General features: G+C 37.8%; 1 protein-coding gene and 1 pseudogene across 2 annotated transcripts in view, besides 2 other annotated features; one reads left to right on the top strand and one right to left on the bottom strand.

The window, feature by feature from the left end:
• Window positions 1–21,838, bottom strand: part of ANKRD18B (ankyrin repeat domain 18B) — a 51,192-nt gene that overhangs the window by 731 nt on the left and 28,623 nt on the right. Inside the window, exons 11-18 of one of the 2 annotated variants that reach the window (NM_001353432.2) lie at window positions 18,892–19,004; window positions 16,525–16,654; window positions 8,212–8,493; window positions 7,398–7,609; window positions 5,819–6,041; window positions 3,421–3,466; window positions 2,343–2,396; window positions 1,425–1,513 (exon numbers count right to left, since the gene is read on the bottom strand). In NM_001353432.2, coding sequence (NP_001340361.1) covers window positions 1,425–1,513; window positions 2,343–2,396; window positions 3,421–3,466; window positions 5,819–6,041; window positions 7,398–7,609; window positions 8,212–8,493; window positions 16,525–16,654; window positions 18,892–19,004 — 1,149 coding nt within the window. Of the gene's footprint in view, window positions 1–1,424; window positions 1,514–1,698; window positions 2,397–3,420; window positions 3,467–5,818; window positions 6,042–7,397; window positions 7,610–8,211; window positions 8,494–16,524; window positions 16,655–18,891; window positions 19,005–21,838 lie in introns of those variants that run through there. The other variant, NM_001393611.1, reaches the window with a different exon arrangement.
• On the top strand, window positions 77–2,282 carry bA255A11.4 (melanoma antigen pseudogene; annotated as a pseudogene).
• Window positions 11,254–11,454: a silencer, noted in NCBI's record as "peak7218 fragment used in MPRA reporter construct". NCBI's record gives its function as "represses an SCP1 promoter by STARR-seq MPRAs in K562 erythroleukemia cells {active_cell/tissue: K562}" and the evidence as "EXISTENCE:reporter gene assay evidence [ECO:0000049][PMID:32103011]".
• Window positions 14,202–14,341: an enhancer, noted in NCBI's record as "active region_28299". NCBI's record gives its function as "activates an Ori minimal core promoter by ATAC-STARR-seq in GM12878 lymphoblastoid cells {active_cell/tissue: GM12878}" and the evidence as "EXISTENCE:reporter gene assay evidence [ECO:0000049][PMID:35858748]".

Genomic DNA, 21,838 nt, shown 5'->3' with positions numbered 1-21,838 from the left:
TCTGGCCAGGCCTAGCTGCTCCACTCACAGGTGCACCCAGGTCCTCATCACTGTCACCACCAGGGCCCAGGGCCAGGATTAGAGCCTCCCACAGGTGCTCCCCAATTTCTGCCCTCTCCACCAAGGGTGGTCCTAGGGATGCAGACAGAGGAGGGGCGCCGAGCAGAGCAGAGAGGGCTGGCACCCTCTCTAGGTGGAACCCAGGTCGTGTGTAAAGTTGGAGGTCTCCCAAGCAGTGCTGAATTCAATACATCTTCTCACGTTCCCTTTCCAGGCACCCTCCAGGGTGCCCTGACTCACCTTCCCTACAGATGGAGGCAAGGAGACTCCACAGAAAAAACCCCTGCCTGAGGTCACACATCGGCTAACTGGCCAGGTTCCTACTGACCAGGTGCCCCCAACGAGGCCCCTAATGAGCACTCCTCCATTGACCAGGCCCCACTGACCAAGTCCCCACGGACCATGTCTCCGTAACCAGGCCCCCATTAGTAGGCCTCATGGACCAGACCCCACTGACCAATTTCCCACTGACCTGGTCCCCACTGACTGGGTTCCCACTGACAAGACCACAATTTACCAGGTTGCTGCTCACCTCACCCCCACTGAATAATTCTCCATGGATCAGTCCCCAGCCGACTGAGCCCCCTCTGACCAGGCTCTCACTGACCAGGCTCCAAGCCACTAAGGCCCCACACTGACCAGACCCCTAATATACTGAATACACCCCACCGACCAGTTTTTTATTGTTTATGTTCCAACCGATCAGGCCCCACTAATAAGGCCACCACTGACCAGGTCCCCACTGACTAGGCTTCCGATGACTAGGTCACAAGGTACCCACTGGGTGAGGCCTTCACTGAGGAGGCCACCGCTAACCAGGTCCCTGCTGATCAGGTCCCAACTGGCCAGGTCCTGATGGCTAGGTCATCTCTGACCATGGTCCACTGATGAGGCCCTTGAGCAGCTGTGTTCAAAGTCTCATTACAATGCTGCCATCAGCCCACAGACCCTCCCTCCCTGCATGTGTGCCCAGGGGTCAGGCCCGGGGGGTTTTCTTGGGCTGCAAGGCCTCTCCTCCAAGACACAGGGAGGGAGTCAGCCTCAGGCTCCAGGTACCCAGCTTCACACTCACCCCGCAAGGCCCTCTGGGCCCATCTGAAAGGAGACAATGAGGTGGCCTGGCACTGCCTGGACATGCCATCTTCCCTATTCCTGAGTGTCAGAGTGGGAGGAAGGGAGGGACATTTGGCAGACAAGACACCCTGTGCTGCTGGGTCTCCCAGGGCCCTTCCCACAGAGCCCCGATCTAGAGACACAGCACAGAGGCTGCAGAGAGACTAATCAAGAACCCTTGAGGCTGAGCCAGGGACCACATGAGGACTGTCCCCAGACAGCTAGAAGGCCCTTTGCTAGTTTCTTGGTACCTCAGTGGATGCGACAGTGGTTCTTCTGTTGGGGACTAGTGAGCGCATGATGGGAAGAGCTCGCCTGTGCTTCCTCGGTGGCTCCAACTCTGCTTTTAAGAAAAATTACTCATTCTAGGGTTGCCGCAGAGAAAATACAACATTAGTTTAGAACACCTTGTGCCAGAAAGTAAAAAAGTGCTGACAGAGTAATGGGGACAAATCAAAAAGACATAAAGTCAGCTTGAAATGTCTACCACTGGCCTAATCTTTGGGAACTGGAGCACCAGAATCATGACTTTCCCTTCTCCTTTATTTATTGGTTTTATTTCTCCATGTAGAACAAAGAAGAAAATAAGAAAAATAATCATCTGGCAACCATCACAGTAATACTTGTTCAAACACAAGTCATCCATGAAATGCTAAATCTAGTGGGTTTTGAGGAGTAACCAGATATTTACAGAGCTTCAAAGTATCTCCACACAAAATACTATTGAACTACAAAAAGAAAATCATAACACTAGTATGGACAAACCTGGCAGATACTCTTTAAGTCTCCTACTATATATGGTAATAAAAAGTGTAAAATGCAAAGATGACCTTTACTACAGTATCAATGATGACTTGGTTGTTTGGCTGTTTAAACAGCTGACATTCAGGCAATTTGAGTAGGTCAAACTCAATAACACTGGTGTTCATTTGCAAGATCCACTTAAAACTTAAGGAGGCTAAAAAAATCATTTAAAATAACATATAAATATACATCATATGATATGAAAATATTCTACTTTAGTAAAGATTGTGATGTTTTATATTTTATGAGAAACAATTAAAATTTCATGTAAATAGCCCAGTAATAAAGTTTTATGATCTTTTAAATCATACAACTTTTCCTTAAGATTTTATGGTTAAATATTCTCTTCATTAGATGTGGCTTACCAGTGGATTCTAGAGAAGAAAGTAGATAGGAGCAAGGGCCCAACGCAGCAAAAGCTGGAAAGAAAAAGAAAGGATTATGTTCTTTACCTAAAACATTTCAGTTAACGAAGTGTAAGTTTAAAATGTAGAGTTGAGAACATTATCAGAGTTAATAAGAATGAGAAATATGTACGTGCAATTACAATACAAGATTACTATTAAATCATTTACACATGGCACTAATTCTAATTGTGGTTAAATATCACAGCTTTTTCATTCTTCATTCATGCACTCAACAGCCACGTGCTAAGGTACTAGAGCCAGCACTGGAATTACAAGATGAAGATGGCATGGTCCACCTCCCAATAGTCATATGCTATAACCTAAAAGACCGGCAGGTAATGTCCATATAGAGTCATAGATATCATGACAGGTATACAGCGGGGCACTACTGGAACACACAGAAGGGACATCTATCCCACTTTTGTGTCAATATCATGGGCTTTCTGGTGGAGGGGATACATAGGTTGATGACTGAAGGATGAGGAAAATCTTGCCAGAAAGAGGGAAGAGGCGAAGGCAAAGATCCTGAGGTAACAAAGAGCCCTGCGGAGTTCTACTCTGTCCACTTTGGTGCTAGAGCAAAGGGCAGAATGCAGTAAGTGGTGAGAGACAAGGCTGAGTAACCTGACAAGAATTACATTGACATGGGTGTTTTTATTTCATGGTGAAATTTCTGGAACTTTTCCTGAGAACAGATGTAAGCCAATTGATGCTTTTGTTTTTGGAGAATCGTTTCAGTGTGCTGGCTGACAGTTCCATGAGGACGGCAAAAGTGAAGAAATTGCAGAATCAGTAAAAAAGAGATGGATCCACTTCTTGGGAATTTTTTAAGCTATGGAACATGATGAATTAATGATGCATAAGTATACTCTTCACTGTGAAAGTTTTTGTTTTCACATCTTTCATTAGATGTGTGTAAGAAAAAGATACTGAATGTAGTATCTACTAACCCAACAATGAAAAGGAATGCCATTTGCTATTTACACTTTATTACTAAAATAAACCTAAATTTAATTAATACATTTTGGCAACATACTTTTCTTTGTTTCTGTAATTATTTGTTCTGCACAGTCCAGCTCCATCTAAAATAAGTAAAAAAAAAAATAATAATAATGTTTAAGTTAAACAAGAGACATTATCATGAGATTAACATATTACTTACAAAATGTGGCCTTTAGTATTTTTAGTGACTAGACATAACATGAAGTTTGCTTAAATAGAAAAATAATCACATAAGTAAAGTAAAATTTCTACTTATTCTAAGTTTAGATAATAGAGGATGTATCTGTGTAATGCTGTTTAGAGTAATCTGACAAAAATAGATAATATTGGTCTATCGGATATACATAATTTTAGAAAGGTGGTGTTTTATTAGTACAAAGGTTAAACAATGACCGGGCATGGCAGCTCACGCCTGTAATCCCAGCACTTTGGGAGGCAAATGTGGGCAGATCACGAGGTCAAGAGATCGCGACCATCCTGGCCAACATGATGAAACCCTATCTCTACTAAAAATACAAAAATTAGCTGGGTGTGGTGGTGCATGCCTCTAGTCCCAGCTACTCGGGAGGCTGAGGCAGGAAAATGGCTTGAACCCAGGAGGTGGAGGTTGCAGTGAGCCGAGATCATGCCACGGCACTCCAGCCTAGTGACAGAGCGAAACTCCATCTCAAAAAAAAAAAAAGAAAAAAAGGTTAAACAATTAAAGTCATATTTTGCAATGAATGCATTGCTTTGAAATTCTTAGCAAAAGTCTGTCCTTTATAAAAGTTTAATCCATTTTTTACTTCAATAAATTTTTTCTTAAAAAGAAATTTATATTCTTTACTTACTGAAAAAAATATGTATAGTAAAGTTTTCTTTTTTTTTTTCTAGTTTGTATTCTAAATTAAAGTGGTACCTGTGTAAGTTTCTTCCAAAAGTATATTGAGGAATGCTGAGGTTTGGAGTACAATTGAACCCATCACACAGGTAGTGAGCATAGGACCCAAGAAGCAGTTTTTCAACCCTGGCCCACTCTGTCCCTCCCCATTCTTATTTCCTGGTGTCTATTGTTCCCATGTTTATGTCAATGGGCACCTAATGTGTAGCTCCCACATATGAGTGCAAATGAGATATTTGGTTTCTGTTTCTGCGTTAGTTTGCTTAGGATAGTGGATTCCAGCTGTATCCATGTTGCTGCAAAGGACATGATTTTGTTCTTTTCATGGCTGCATAGTATTTGGTATATATGGAATTTTCCAATCTACCTTGGATTTTCAATCTACCTTGGGTGCACCTGGATTGACTCCATGTCTTTGTTATTGTGAATAGTGCTGCAATGAACATACATGTGCATGTATCTTTTTGTTACAATGATTTATTTTCCTTTAGGTATATCCCTAGTATAGTAATGGGGTTGCTGCATGTGGGATTACAGGTGCCTGCCACAACACCTGGCTAATTTTTGTAGTTTTAGTAGAGATGGGGTTTCATCATGTTGGCCAGGCTGGTATCAAACTCCTGTCCTCAGGAGATCTGCCTGCTTCAGCCTCCCAAAATGCTGGGATTACAGGCGTGAGCCACCACACCTGGCCAAGCACAAAGGTTTTAACAGAAAAATGGAAATGAACTTTCAGTGTTTTATTTAATTCATAAAATGCACTTATTTTGGGTTCTATTAAATAATAAATATCTATATGTTGTTAAGTGTTTGGTTGCCTGTCATTCGCTTGTGATTATGGGTGGAAAGAGTTAAGTTGGTGCAAATAAACTTTAAAAATAGTATGGGCTGGGCACAGAGGCTCACCCCTGTAATCCCAGCACTTTGGGAGGCTGTTGTGGGTGGATAACAAGGTCAGTTCGAGACCTGCCTGGCCAATATGGTGAAATCCTATCTCTACTAAAAATACAAAAATTAGCCAGGTGTGGTGGCAGGCACCTGTAGTCCCAGCTACTTGGGAGGCTGAGGCAAGAGAATCACTTGAACCCAGGAGGCGGAGGTTGCAATTAGCTGAGATCATGCCACTGCACTCTAGCCTAGGCAACAGAGTGAGACTCCATCTCAAAAAAAAAAAAAAAAAAAAAGTGATATGAACCACAGACAAACTACAGTCACGTAGAGTAAGACAAAGCATTTCAAAGTATACCATCAGTTATTAGGCAATAACATGCATTTTTTAAAACCTAACAAATGCAGCTTTTAGAGAAATTTTAAATGTGTCAGTTTAACCACATTTATTGAATAAAGTTAGCAAATGGGTGTCTCTTGAAAATGAGAGCTCCAGGGAATTAAAAAATGTAAAGTTTCCATTTCCTTTCTGTGTTAACACAGCTAATTATAATCTTTACTTAACATGCATAAGTCAACAGAACAACTCAGTATTTCACCAAATTATAAACAAGAATTATATTAGAGAAATGAAACCCAAAAGAGAAATGGTCATATAACTAACCTCAGTCAAGGAGTTCTTGCAGTTATTTGAAGTCTGTGGGTTTGAAGTAGGAATTCTTATGGCCATTTTGGGAATATATTTTCTGTTGAGTTCTATACTATTAAGATTTTCAACACAAGGTAACTCTGGGTCTGGCCTCATAGGAAGAGTGCTGAGAAAATATTCCATCCGCTCTTTCTCCATAAAGAGCTTGGTGCTGATCACAGCTATTTTCTTATCCGATCTGTAAAGAGAGCAAAGACAAATGCTTAGTATTTCATTTTACCTTGAATGATTCTTAATGACTTGCATTTTTTAAACAGTTGCCCTGAGAGTAAACCAAATTACCCATTAAACAGTGTTTTCACACGAAGATGTGTGAGAGCATACCTCTTGTAAGTAACGGTAATTTTAAAATCATTCTAAATAAGTATATGTGTTTCTAAGGTGATTTCTACTGAACAAGCAGTTCAAAGTAGACAGGGAAGAGAAATGGCTATCAGTGATGTACAGCTCAACAGGTAACCTAGCTGCCTTCTAAAATAGCTCTACTTATAAGATTCTAAAGATTCCTTTAGATATACTTGTATTTAAAGGGTAACTATGTGGGAAAATGATTATGTTAATTTGCTTGACTATAAGAACTACTTCACTATAAATAATTATATGAAAACATCATGTTGTACTCCTTAAATAATGTAGATTAAGGAAACTAAAATGAACAAAAATAATCTAGAAATACTTGTGTTTAGTAAACCAGTTTCAGGTTTCACCCTTGTACATTTCACCCATTCTCTAAGAACACTTAAGTATTTGGCACTGAGGAATAACTCAGAGCAACAACTCCTGGGGGAGAACTAGACTGGTTGGTTGGTGATCAAAAAGAACTACAGCATCTCTGAAGGCAATTAGCCCTCAACACTGTGACCAAGGCACTGGAGGTGGGGCTTGTTCTTTCTGCCTTCCACACAGCCCTTCAGGCTGAACAAGGTGTTATTTTTGAACCACCTTGTGGATTACCCTTCTTTTCATTCCTGTGATAATTATTCCCTCTTTCACAAGGATGCCTTTATGTAACACCTTGAAAATGTTACACAAATAGTTTTTCTTGAGGTACCCTCTAGTGATAACACCTAAAGATCACACTCAAAAACAGTCCCTGCCTGAGTGCCAGGATGTGCCCAGAGTAGCAGTATCACTTGACACTTTGGGTTCAGGTTGTGATCTACCAAAAAATAAATTAAACTCATTAATATTCCCATTTAGGAAAATTCTGACAAGTAATTTTATAACAAGATCACTTTATTTATCATAAAGCTTCAAAAATACTTAGTGAAAAAAACTAACTGGTCAGGTTAACTACATGAGACTTTTCAGGGAAAAAAGCCACACAAAAGCAAAAAAAGAGAAGAGAGACAGAAACTATCCTTGATGAACATTTTAAAGGAGGGATTATTTACTAACATTATTTTCCAAAATTACATTACCAAATTAGCATTCACTTCCTACTGATCTCCTGAAGCCATCTCACTAAAAATTATGCTTTCAAAACAAATTAATGAGTTTAATTCATTTTCTATGAGTATATGTTTTGACTTACTTCGTTATTTTTTCTGACATGGAACTGTTAGCTTTCAATGCTACTGCAAAGGCTTCCTTATACTCTTCTAATTCAGTTGTAACATCTTCATAAGCTGTTTTCATTTTGGAGAATTTACATTCCACATCTTTAAGTGTGAGTTCCTTCTTTTTTAGTGAAGCCGTATTATCCTTGTTTAACTGCTCTAATTGTTTTTCATATTCTGCTTGTTTCTAAAACAAATGAAAAGAATACACTTTTAAAACAATTATAAGTTAATTACCATATGTTTGTTGCCTTTCATTTTGAATCAGTGATTCAAAGAGCAATTTTGAATATGTTAAAAAGAGGCTGAAGCTTAAAATATTTATCAGCAATATCAACAAAACTAATAACTGAATTCAGAATTGTCTGATTTATAAAAATTTGGAATCATAATTATGTTAGTATTAATGTAATCTGGTCCTATAAAAAGTAATAGAATCCATTTATAATTTTAAAAAGTGAACAATGAACAACGTAGCTTAAGACCAATTCAAAAGTATCATATAATTTCTAAATCACAGTTTTCTCTTATGCCAACTGGTCTTAATCATCAAATTCCCCCTTTTACTGTATAGTGAGAATCATTACTTTGAAAGATTGATTTTGTTATAATAATAATGGAAATTTAAATATTTAAAAGGAAAAAACGTCACTTTTTTCTAGAGCTCTACAAAGGAAATTGCCGTAAGAGAGGCAGAGGAAACACAATATATACACATCCAAAATACAGTTTGCAGTGAAATAAATGAAAGCCCATTACAGATAAACTTACCTGATTTTAAAAACTAACCTGTAAATGGATTTCTTCTAATTTTTCTATTGCCTGCATTGCCCTTTCATCCAGCTCCGATTTATATTCTTGTACTTTACCAAGTTCTACCATATCTTTTTCCATATGTGTCTTAAGATTTAATACTTTTTCTTCCAACATCTTTTTATCCTTCTCAAGTTTTTCACATTTCTCTTGTACTTTTCCCATAGATAATAACTCCTGATGAAGAACTTCATTGTCTTTGGCCAAATTGACACATTTTGAAGATACAGCTTCCTTCTCGGCCATAAGATCATCAAACTGCATTAATAAAATAATAGAGCTTGATAATGAAGTAGGCTGAGAATAATCTAATACAAAACCAATAGCAAATTTTGAAATGCATCCACTTGCAATAAAATGTTATCTATAATGTAGTAGATTCTTCAAATGTGAACCCTTAAATTACTCAGAATTTTAAGAACAAAGTTAAAGCTACCATGAGTCACAAAAATATGCTTTACTGACATCATCTTTGCCACAGAACTTTTTCACTTGCTTTTACTTTTATTTTTCTGATAATTCATTTTTGTTCCTCCTTAAATGGCACTAAGTTATCTCTTAGTAAAAAGTGTCTAACCCTCTTCCCTCATCATCATTCCCCAAAATTTGTCAAAAAACCTTTCAGAGATATCATATTGAGTTATTTAGGCCAAAGTCAATAAATGGCTCCCAGAATAAGACTTTGAAAATAATATAATACTCTACGCTAGGCATGGTGGCCCATGCTTGTAATCCCAGCACTTTAGGAGGCTGTGGCAGAAAGATCACTGGAGGCCAGGAATTTGAGATCAGCCAGAGCAACATAGTGAGACCCCCATCTCTACAAAAAAAAACAAATTTAAAAAATTAGCCAGGCATGGTGGCTCAGGCCTGTAGACCCAGCTAGTTGGGAGACTGAGGCAAAAGGATGGCTTGTACCCAGAGTTCAGGGCTGCAGTGAATTATGACCACATCACTGCACTTCTGCCTGGATGATAGACAAAGACCATATCTCAAAAAACACAAAATAATGAATCCTGTAAATAAGGATTCTGATGCCATAAGCCTTTCCCTAAACCGCAAATGTTTCATGCTAATTTGAATTGCATTTTAAGAAGTAATGATTCTTGGGGTAAAGGCCATAGAATACAACACCCAGAAACAAATCCACATATTTACAGCCAACTTATTTTGGAATAAGGTGCCAAGAACATACATTGGGGAAAGGACACCCTCTTCAAATGAATGGCACTGGTAAACTATCCATATGAAGAATGATACTAGCTTCCTATCTAACACCATATAGCAAAATAAACTCAGAATCAATTGAAGATTGAAATGTAAGGCCCAAAGTTATCAAACTATTGTAAGTAAACATAGGGAAAATGCTTCAGGACATTAGTCTGCACAAAGATTTGTATAGGTAAGACATCAGAAGCATAGGCAACAAACAAATGATAGACAAATGGTACTACAACTGAGTGAAGAGAAAACCTGTAGAATGGAAGAAAACATTTTCAAGCTATTCATCTAATAAAGGACAAATATCCAAAATACACAAGGAACTCAAACACCCTGACAGTAAACAAAAATAATCTGAGTTCAAAACTAGGCAAAAGATCTGATTAGATATTTCTCTTTTTTTAAGAGAAAAAAAAGAAATACAAATGGCCAATAAATACATTTAAAAATGTTCAGTATCACTAATCATCAGGGAAATACAAATCAAACCTACAATGTGATATAATCTTGCTCCATTTCAATAAATGGCTATCATAGAAAACACAAAAAAAAGTGCTGGTGAGGTTTCAGAGAACAGTAAACTCTTACATGCTGTTGGTGGGAAGGTAAATTAGTGCAGCTACTATAGAAAACAATATGAAGTTTTCTCAAAAAATGAACAATGGAACTGCTGAGGGATCCAGCAACCCCACTACTGGGTATTCAGGCAATAGAAAAGAAAACAATAGATCACAAGGATACTTTTCCTCACATGTTTACTGTAGCACTATTCACAACAGCTAATGTATAAAATCAACCTACATGTCCATCAACAAATGAATGGACAAAAAAATTGTGGTACACATACACAATGGAATACTCACCATATAAAAAAATGAAATCTTCTTACTTGTAGCCACGTGGATCAGTCTGGAGGATATTATGTTAAGGGCAGACACAGAAAGATAAATACTGCACATTCTCACTCATGTGTGGGAGCTAAAGAAAAATTGAGGGCTGGGCAACATGGCTGATGCCTGTAATTTCCTAGCACTTTGAAAGACCGAGGCAGGAGAATCACTTGAAGCCAAAAGTTCCAGAGCAGCCTGAGCAACATAGAAAGACATCTCTACAAAGTAAAAAATCAGACAGGTGCAATGGTGCACGCCCATAATCCTAGCTGCTCAGGAGGGTGAGGTCGGAGGATGACATGGGCCCAAGAGTTTGAGGCTGCAGTGAGCTATGATCAAATCACTGTCTCTAGCCTGGATGACTCTACAGTTGCCCAGAGCCCAGACTACACTAGCAAGACCCTGTCTCTTAACAACAAAAAAGCTCATAGAAGTAGGAGAGGGGAGTCTGGTTAATGGATACAGAATTACAGTTAGATAAGAGGAATGAGTTCTGATGTTCTGTGGCATTGTAGAGTGAATATGGTTAACTATGATTTATTGAATATTTTTAAAAAGCTAGAAGATTTTGAATGTTCACAATTCAAAGAAATGAAAAATGATTGAAGTAGTAAGAAGTAGTAAATATGCTAGTTAGCTTGATCATTATGCACTATATAAATTTATCAAAATGTCACCCTATAGCCCATAATTATGTATATACATGTCAATTAAAACAAAAGAGAATCTATATTCATCCCATTAAAAGAATAGAATATGGGCCATCCTTACTGATGGCCTTCTCCTAATGAATAGAATGCAGTAAAAGGGATACCATGTAGCTTCCCTATCTCAGACTGCTTTCCCTTCGAACTCAGCCCCCAGATTGTGAGAGAGATCAGTCCACAAAGACAGCCTGGGAGTGCCAGTGTCGGTGTTCATGCTGCCTGCCCCAGCTGAGGTTCCAGCCAATGGCCAGCATCAACCATCAAACACATGGGAGAGCAAAGCTTCAGATGATTCAATTTCTCCAACTTCCTAGGGAAGCTGAGGGGAGCAGAGACAAGCTGTCCTGGCCAATCTTTTTCCAAACCACAGGTTCATGAACAAAATAAATGTTTTTCTTTTAAGCCACAAAACTCTGGGTAATTGTTAGAAAAATAAGTTTTAAAAAGAGACAACAGGAAACAACTTAGGTAGCAGAAAAGAGTCTCCTTTAAAGTAGATCTAATAAATGTTGAGATTAATTTATTGATGACAAACATTATTGAGAAGCAGCAGATAACCAGGAGAGAGGTGTAAGCTGCTGAGGAGGAACTTTTCCTAAAACCCCCTTCAATTATGAGCTCTGATAATAAGGCAAGGGTGTCTCCTTACAATTTCCCCTCAAGTTAGGAAATAAGACTGCAAAGCAAGAAGACATATGATTTGAAAAACAACTGGAAATACTTGGTTACATAACCAAAATCAGACATTTACCTGATTTCAATTAATGAAAATTCTAAAAGAAGAAGCTTTGAGTATTTATTAATCAATCTAGTATTCGATTTTCATTTTCCTTTTTCTCAATGAGGAAATAAGGAGAAAATTATGGAATGACTTTTACTCTTCACAGAAGTAAAATAAACACAGCATACTTTGAGTGTTAAGACATCAAATGCAATTTCTCCTTTACCTTACTTCACGTTTGTTTGCATGGAGAAGTTAAGACCATCCCATCTCTGTATTATACCACAATGCTTCTCTATAGCACACAACTTGGCTCTGAAATTTTGAAATTCAAAATACTAATCTACTATTTGTCTCTGATAAATTGCCTGAATATTACCTGATTTTTAAGTGCTGCACTCCTAAAACTTTTTCTTGGAATGAGTTAAACTTTTTATTCCAAGAATCCTCTACTGAGCTAGAAAGCAGAGCTGTGCATCTCTGTTTCAGTAAAAGGAGGTCAATACAGAAACCGTGGTTTCTGAGAATGCAAGATCTGCACCAAGAAAAGGATTAGCCACAGTGTTACACAACAGAACAAGATGCCAGGTGGAAAGAGGATCTGTGAACTGAAAGATGATGACTTCACTTGATTTCCACTGAGGAAAGCTGGCAGCTCAGACTTAAACTCCTCCTTCCTGGATGGTAAACATCTATGGATGATTCTATGAATTATAATGAGTTAGTAAAACATAAGGCACTAAATAGTAGACTATTTCAGCAGATACTGCGACCAAAATTTACTGAAAATGAAACCATAGAGGGAGGCACTGGATAAGAGACTAAAGGTTTAAATGGAGAAAAAAAGAAAGAGTGTGTCTCGTAAGCCTGACTTGCCATCATGTCTTAGAGTAAGTAAGGTATAAGCTGGCCACAGACTCCTTTGAGACACAAAAGGTGAAGTTAAAGATATTCTACTACATTTAATTTTTATTATGACATAAGACAACTGGTAATATGCAACATGATTGAAAAAATTTTCTCAGTAAATTCAATTTGGTCCTGGTATAAGAATAGACATAAACTAAGAATAGACATAAACTAAGAATTGATAATCTAAAAATAAGCCTGCACATTTACAGTCAATTGATTTTATACAAGGTTAACAAAAAAACAGAATGGGAAAAGAATAGTCTTTTCAATAAATGATATTGGAACAACTGGGTATCCATGTGCAAAAAAAATTATAAAGTTGGACTCTCACCTAATACCATATTTAAAAATTAACTCAAAACAGTTAACTGTAACAGCTAAAACTATAAAACTCTCAGAAGAAAACGTTGGCATAAATCTTTGTGACTGCATTTGGCAGTGTTTTCTTAGCCATGACTCCAAAGGAAAAATGGATTCAATGAACTTCAAAATTGAAAACTGCTGTGCCTGAGAAGACAGTATGAAGAACTGAAAAGGTAAGACACTGAGTAGAAGAAAGTATCTGAAAAGCATATATCTGATAAGGGACTTACATATATAGGATATATAAAGAACCCTTGCCATTAATAAATAACAAGATAACCCAATTTAACAAATGGGCAAAGAATTTGAATAGATATTTCTGCAAAGAAGATATAAAGATGGATAATAAGCACATTAATAGATGCTTAATGTAATTAGTCATTAGGAAAATGTAAATCAAAACCACCTTGTGGTATCACTTCACACCACAGGACCAAATCTTTGTTCAATAAAAAAGAGAAAATAAGTGTTAGGGAAAATGTAAAGAAATTAAAGCCCTTATCCAATGCTGCCGGGGATGTAAAGTGGTGCAGCCACTTTGGAAAACAAATTGTCAGCTCCTCAAAAGGTTAAGCATGAAGTTACTGTATGACCCAGAAATTCCAGTCATAAGTATATACTCCACAAAAATAAAAACATATGCAAGCACAAAAACTCATACATAAATGTTTACAGCAGCATTATTACTATATTTTTTTGAGACGGAGTCTTGTTCTGTAGCCCAGGCTGGAGTGCAGTGGCATGATCTCAGCTCACTGCAACCTCTGCCTCCTGGGTCTGGGGTCAAGCAATTCTCCTGCCTCAGTCTCCTGAGTACCTGGGATTACAGGCACACACCACCATGCCCAGCTAATTTTTGTATTTTTAGTAGAGACAGGGTTTCACCATGTTGGCCAGGATGCTCTTGAACTCCTGACCTCGTGATCCACCTGCCTCGGCCTCCCAAAGTGCTGGGATTACAGGTGTGAGCCAACACCCCTGGCCTACAGCAGCATTATTAATAAGAGTCAAAAAGTGGAAAGAACCCAAAGGTCCATCACCTCATGAATGGTTGCATAAAATGTTTGATGTATTCATACAATGGAATATTACTCAGCAATAAGAAGAAATTTAGTACTGATACTGATAGAAGCAGGAGACAGCAAAATGCCTAGGCAGATATGGAAGGGTCCCCAGAGAATCTCCAGGCCCACAAGTGTCTACACCAGATAAAACATCCGGTGCAGATAAGGGAACCTGCACAGGGGCTTGCCTGGACATGCCAGCAGCAGACTGGAGGCCCACATGCACTGGGGGGTTGGGGTGGAGCCACCAGGAATTCATGCCTTATGCAGAGGAGGAGCCTGGCCTCTTCAGCTCATGTGTGCCTGTCCTGGTATTCAATTGTGAGGTGGAAATCTGTTTGCAGGACCCCTCTCTTTGCTGAGAGCTTCCCTTTCACTTAATAAATTCTGTCCTTCTCACCCTTCAATGGGTCCACATGGCTAATTTTTCCTGGTCATGAGAGAAGAACCCAGATTTAGCTGAACTAAGGAGTGAAAGCCCTGCATCAATACCTGCTACAGCACAGATGCAGCATGAAAAATTATGCTAAGTGAAATAAGCCAGTCCCAGTCGACCACTTGCTTTTTATTTCAGAGGCTTATACGCAAATCTATACGAAGAAGGTGGGTGGTTCCCTAGGGCTGAGGGAGGAAGGGAAAACTAGTGAAGATAGCTAAATGATGTGGGGTTTGTTTTTAAGGTGATGAAAGTGTTCTAAAATTGATGTAACAATGATTACATAACTCTGAAAATACTAAAATTGAATGACTTGTATATTTTAAATGAGTGAATTGCATGGTATGTTAATTACTTCTCAATAAACCTGTTACACCCCAAAATTTATTTGGTACTAGTGATCTGGAGACATGGGCTGCTTCGTTTCAGATCACTGGCCAGGGTTCAAGACATAAGAGAATCAACAGCACGTCTTTTGTATAGAAAAATATATACATATATATTTTTTAAAGTATCTTTTTATTAGTATCAAGTCTGTAAAATTAAATGAAAAATCTGTCACTGCTTAAAGCACTGAGAGATTTATATTGAGGAGCAAGACCTTGTATTCTTTTGCCCCAATTTCTATCTAAAGGGTCTGGGAATCACACCCTTCAAACAATCAAATCTCATCAGATGGGTTTTATTAACTCTTATAATGTGGTTTACTTTCTAACCTGATTCTGGTACAGCATCACAGAGAGAAGAAGCTGAAAAAAATCAAAGTATTTTACCCCCAAATATATATTTTTTGACATATTTTGAAATGGCTGTTGCAGGGCCAAGAGATTGAAATGGCCGTACAAAGCTGCCATCTGTGGGGGAATTTGCATCTGTAAGAAGTCTTCATTAATGTAGCCCAATCTCTCCCCTTCTAGGTCTTCCCAGATCTAGGGAAGATAAACTAAGATCCTGATGCATTTCAAGTCTGAAAAGATATATTTACCCTCTATTTTCTCTGAGGACTGCCAGCTAGGAGGCTTCATCTACATAATAAGAACCTTAACCTCCATAATGACCTTATCTTAATTAAGGCCTTCCTTTATACCTATTTCCAGTTTTAGACAACAGATTTTGTTTATCAATTGTCACTGAAAGAATCCTTAAAACCCACCTATGACTTGTTAGCCCCTCCTTTTTGATGTCCCACTTTTAGGCTGAGCCAATGTATGCCTTCCTCATATTGATTTATGATTTTCCCTACAACTCTGTCTGCTGGAAATGTACAAAACCAAACTGTAATGTGACTGTCTCATGAAGCATTCTCAAGAGCTCTTGAGATTGGGTAATCCAGGGCCACAGTCACCATACTGGCTCAGAATCAACCTCCTTAGATGTATTTTGGCTGAATTTGGGTTTATCCATCATTAATATTTCTCCAAATTACATAATTTTAATCCCCAAACTGATTTAAAATTACCTTACGTTTAAATATAAATTATTGTATTATAAAGATACATGTATTTGTATGTTCATTGCAGCACTATTCACAATAGCAAAGACATGGAATCAACCCAGATGTCCATAATGATAGACAGGATAAAAAAATGTGGTGTATATACATCATGGAATACTATGGAGCCATACAAATGAATGAGATCATGCTTTTTGCAGGGACATGGATGAACTCGAAGCTGTTATCCTCAGCAAACTAACACAGGAACAAAAAACCAAACACTGCATCCTCTCACTTATAAGTGGGAGCTGAATGATGAGAACACATGGACTCAGAGGGGGAACAACAAACACTGGGGCTTGTTGGGGTCAGGAGGGGGAGCATCAAGATTAATAGCTAATGCCTACGGGGCTTAATACCTAGGTGATGGATTGATACGTGCAGCAAACCATCATGGCACACATTTACCTATGTAACAAACCTGTACCTCTCACACATGTAATCTAGACCTTAAGATAAAATAATAATTTTTTAAATTACCTTCTGTTTTAGCTTCTTAAACAGAATATCCATTTTCAGTTGGTCTGTATTTAAGTCTCCATGGCAACTGAAGTCTTCATTTGCAAATGCATTTAACATATTTATTGTCATTTCTAGGCATTTCTTATATCTGCAGAAATGTAAGAACTGGTAAGTCAAGAATTTTTAAGAGTAAATATTTAATAATTGTTTAAACAGATACTATGTTATGGCATATCAAAGAAACAAATCTATAAACTATGATCCTCTCAGTTTCAACTGAACATAGTTTGAAAGCATTCTATATGAAATTATAATCTTATATAAATAATATGAAGAACAATTTTATGGTATATATAGCAGGTAAAGTGATAATAGCCATACAGTTTTTTTTTTGTTTTTGTTTTGTTTGTTTTTTTTGAGATGGAACTTCACTCTTTTTGCTCAGGCTGAAGTGTGATGGCGTGATCACGGCTCACTGCAACTTCTGCTTCCTGGGTTCAAGTGATTCTCCTGTCTCAGCCTCCCAAGTAAGCTGGGATTACAGGCATGTGCCACCATGCTTGGCTAATTTTGTATTTTTAGTAGAGATGGGGTTCACCATGTTGGTCAGGCTGGTTTTGAACTCCTGACCTCAAATGATCTACCTGCCTTGGCCTCCCAAATTGCTGGGATTACAGGCATGAGCCACCACACCTGGCCTAACCATACAGTTTTTTATAAATAAACTATTCATATCCATTTTGGTATGCTAAGATGAAATAACGTATTAGTAAATATAAGGCATAACCAAGAGATGAGTAACCAAGACTTTAAAAAAGTAAAACATATATATGTATGAAAAAGACACAAAAATAAATTTTGATATCCGTTGACCACAGTCTATAAGAAGAAAAAAAAGTACACCCAAAAAGCACAAGGACATTATTCAATGTAGAAAAAGAGAAGAAAACATCTTTAATGTCTGAATTGAGGAGAAAAAGAAAACAGGCAGTTTTAGAAAAAAGGAAAGGTGGAGAGAGATATGTGATGATTTAAAGACTTTGAAGAAGAGATCTAGAGATCTTTACTGACATAATGTCAACAAAATGAAAGATACAAAACCATGTAGAGAAAGACAATGGCAGAAAAATATTGATTAGAATCAGAAAACCAACTTAAGTGCTCAGTAAATACATGGAAAAGTAGCTGTGTTCAGGGCTTCAAAGACACATTCCATTTTTTTAAAAAAAGTCTGTGATCAAAACATGAATGCTCATTTTACTCTTTTTCTTTAGGTTATACTTTTTCTATATATAAAATTTATTTCTGTAAAACAGAAGTTTAATAAGATGTATACTTCATGTATACAATGGAGCTACCCATGTAAAATGAGTAAATTTCCATGATATGTTTTATATCTAAAAGAAAAACAAAGAAGCAGAAACAAAATACAAGCTATATATCCAGATAAATTTTGATGTTAAAGAAGGACACAAATAGGTCTTTAAAAAATTTGAATGCAGCAGTGAAGAATATTACAAAAGGAAGAAAAGATGACCAAATACAGCAAAAATATCTTCAGAAATAAAAATTCAAACTAGATAATGAAAAGTGCGCTTGACATTACATGTCCAAAGCATTGTCATTATTGTTTTCAAAATCATTAAAGAATACATTGCTAAGCGCAGTGGCTCATGCCAACTTTGGGAGGCTGAGGCAGGTGGATCATGAGGTCAGGAGTTCGAGACCAGCCTGACCAACATAGTGAAACCCCATCTCTACTAAAAATACAAAAATTAGCCAGGCAGGGTGGTGCACACCTGTAATCATAGCTACTCAGGAGGCTGAGGCAAGAGAATCACTTGAACCCAGGTGGCAGAGGTTGCAGTGAGCCAAGATCACGTCATTGCACTCCAGCCTGGGTGACAGAGCCAGACTCTGTCTCAAAAGATAAATAAATAAATGAAAATAGGTGTAATGTTTTGGCATTCAAAAAAATTTCAGATTGTGTTGTAAGTTTCTTTTTTCACATATTTTTAATATAAATTTTTTCATCCCAACCTCACCCCAGCAGCTCAGCTGACTCCCAACCCCTGTTTCTCCCCTTCCATTGGACTCTATGACACATGGTCTCATCCAGAGATCTATTTTTCATCACTTATTGTGTTTTTATACTGAAATTTGATTTTTTTAATAATTCCAACAAAAAAGTCCAAGGGTCATGGACTCCTGCTCACATGCCTATAAAGTTGTGTTGTGAGTTTCTGAAATATATTTTAAAACAGAATTCATTTAATTATGAAAATGAAGACATAAAATGAATTTGTATCAAAGTTTTAGTCAAGTAAAGTTAGAGTTAAATCAATTACTAAATGGCTAAAATGTTCTACAATATGAAAACCATACCCAGTTGCCTCTTCTTCTAATTCACGATTTTTCTTTCTTATTTGATCCGCAGTATAGTTCAGTAATGATATTAATTCAAAAACTTTTCTGAATTCTTCATGTTTTTCTTCAGGCTTGAAAAAAAGTGTTTAAAATTATTTTTGTAAAATCTAGAGACCCTCTTCTATCTTAAAAATATTATTTCTCATAAGTTGATGAATAATATGTATTTAGGCAGTTGTATAAAGTGCATTTTACAAACCTGATGCCAATAATGAGATTTCAAAACTAGTCATTTTCTTAAAACAGCTAAAAAAGATTCACACTTTCATCATTACCTTTTCTGAAATTTAAACTGCCAAAAATGTTTGTTAAAAATGAGAGTTTTTACACATAAAGTACTAAGGGTTAGTAAGATGAATTAAGAGTAGTTATATTTACATTTTAGTTTTTAAAGATGCTCTAGAAACATTGTCATTAATAGTTTAAGATATTCCAAGTTAAATTACATCTTACTAAGATGATTTTTAGAAAACTCTTATCTAGTTCCCATTACATTTTTGATCCTCATCTACCTTCAGGCTGAGCTAAATACTGTCATTCTCTGTAAGTATTCACCTGTAGGTTTCAGTTTTTCCCTGTCTATTAACCATTTCTCTTTAAACAAAGTTTATTTTTTCTATAATACACAAATAATAACTTTTGTCTACTTTTTGTGGCTTTTCTATTATCCTGTTTCTCCCCTTCCATTGGACTCTATGACACAGGGTCTCATCCAGAGATCTGTTTTTCATCACTTATTGTGTTTTTATTGAACACAATAAGTGTTATATTGAAACTTGAGATAAACCAGTGCAAGGCTCTTTAGAGCAAAACCTAGGTAACAGACATCTGGGTTGCTTGGCAAAGGTCATGTGTAATCCTAAGTTATGAACCTGTCACAATTTAATTAATTGTTCTGCCTCTGTATCCGTGCTTTCACACCACTGTAACTGTAAGCCTGCTTCAAGCTAGCCCACCTCATTTTTGAAGTGTATATAAAAGTCAAGTGCTGTCTTTGTTCTGGGCCCAGTTTGTCAGATGTTGAGTCCGCTGGGTCTGAGTACACTCGATAAAGATATCCTCCTGTGTACACCCCAAGGTCTCTCTCTGGTCCTCCTGATTCTGCAACACCACCTCACCCAGCTAATTGTTTGTATTTTTAGTAGAGATGGTGTTTCACAATGTTGGCCACGCTGGTATTGAACTCCTTACCACATGATCTGCCCTCCTCGGCCTCTCAAAGTGCTGAAATTACAGGCGTGAGCCACCATGCCTGGCTGCTACTCCTCTTTTTAAATTCTCTCAGAACTCCTAATATCTCAAAACGTTAACCTGGATTCCCTAATATAAATTTCCAGCTCTGACCTTTTTACTGAGGACTCTTCCCTCTAGTACACATATTATAGACAATATTCTCAACCACACACTTATACATTTGCTACTTGGTGCAGATTACTTTTGTAGATAGTGAATCTTGTCTATTTTATGTTGATTCTTATGGATGTTACTTTGAGTACACTGTTATTTTCTAATCTTGAAGGGGGGCTGTCTCACCCTTAGGATATTCACCAGTATACTTTGCTTTGTCCTTTCTTTTTCTTTCTTTCTTTCTTTCTTTTTCCTTCTTTCTTTCTCTCTTTCTTTCTTTCTCTCTCTCTCTCTTTCTTCTTTTTTGGGCCAGTATATTTTGTCCGTTTTTTCTTTTTCTTATTTATTTATTTTTTTTTTGAGATGGAGTCACACTCTGTCATCCAGGCTAGAGTGCAGTGGTGCCATGTCGGCTCACTGCAACTTCCACCTCCTGGGTTCAAGTGATTCTCCTGCCTCAGCCTCCCAAGTAGCTGGGGCTACAGTTGCACACCACCAGCTAATTTTTGTATTTTTAGTAGAGACAGGGTTTCACCACGTTGGCCAGGCTCTTCTTGTACTTCTGACCTCAGGTAATCCACCCACCTCAGCCTCCCAAAGTGTTGGGATTACAGATGTGAGCCACGGCACCCAGCCCTTTTTTCTTTTATAATGAAAACTTTCCCATGAGAAACAGATTATCAATTGTTTGCCTTTGTTTTCTTTTAAAGAATTTCCTTTTCCATAGAGATATGGCATGATGAACATCTTGTTCTAAAGTTCCTTTTGGGGGACACTCAACTATGTCATTGGGAAGCTCCAGTCAAGTAGAGATCTCCCTTCTTCCTGATCGAGATTCTTCATCTCAGAATGGTGTCCACCAAATGTCTTAATCCAGGTAGTCTCCTGCTTAGGAATTCATGAAATAAGAACCTTCTGGAGAAGTTAGAGGCTATTGATTGAGATGGTTTAAAGCTGCCCCTTATTATATGTTTTACTCCCAAGGCAGACATCAAAGTGGCTAATAATCCTATGCCTGATGTCTAACTCAATTCTATGGGAATCTATACAAAACGTTTTATTTATGAGACAGAGCTTGCTCTGTTACCCAGGCTGGAGTGCAGTGGCTTGATCACCGCTCACTGCAGCCTTGATATTCTGAGCTCAAGCGACCCTCCTACCACAGCCTCCAACGTAGCTGGGATTACAGGCATGCACCACCATGCCCCAGCTGTTTAATTTTTTTTTTTTTTTGTAGAGTCAGGGTCTCACTTATATTGCTCTGGCTGGTCTCAAATTCCTGGGCTCAAGCACTGTTCTTGCCTCAGCTTCCCCAAGTGCTAGAATTACTGGCATGAGCCACCTCACCAACCAGGTGTTCCATGGAATGGTTTGAGAGGCAGTTCTACACAGAAGCCAGAAGGGCTGGGTCTGAATCCCAGATCTACCAGATACTAGCTGTGCGACCTTGAGCAAATTAATTTTCCGTGTCTCCGGTTCTTTATCTATGAAATGGAGAGAATAATACCATCTACTTCACTGGGATGTTGGGAAGATTAAACCAGGGACTGACGTGAAG

Source organism: Homo sapiens, chromosome 9 (genome assembly GCF_000001405.40).
Source record: "Homo sapiens chromosome 9, GRCh38.p14 Primary Assembly".
NCBI lineage: Eukaryota > Metazoa > Chordata > Mammalia > Primates > Hominidae > Homo > Homo sapiens.
The sequence above is the reverse complement of the archived record's forward strand: the minus strand, read 5'-3'. Positions and strand labels throughout refer to the sequence as shown.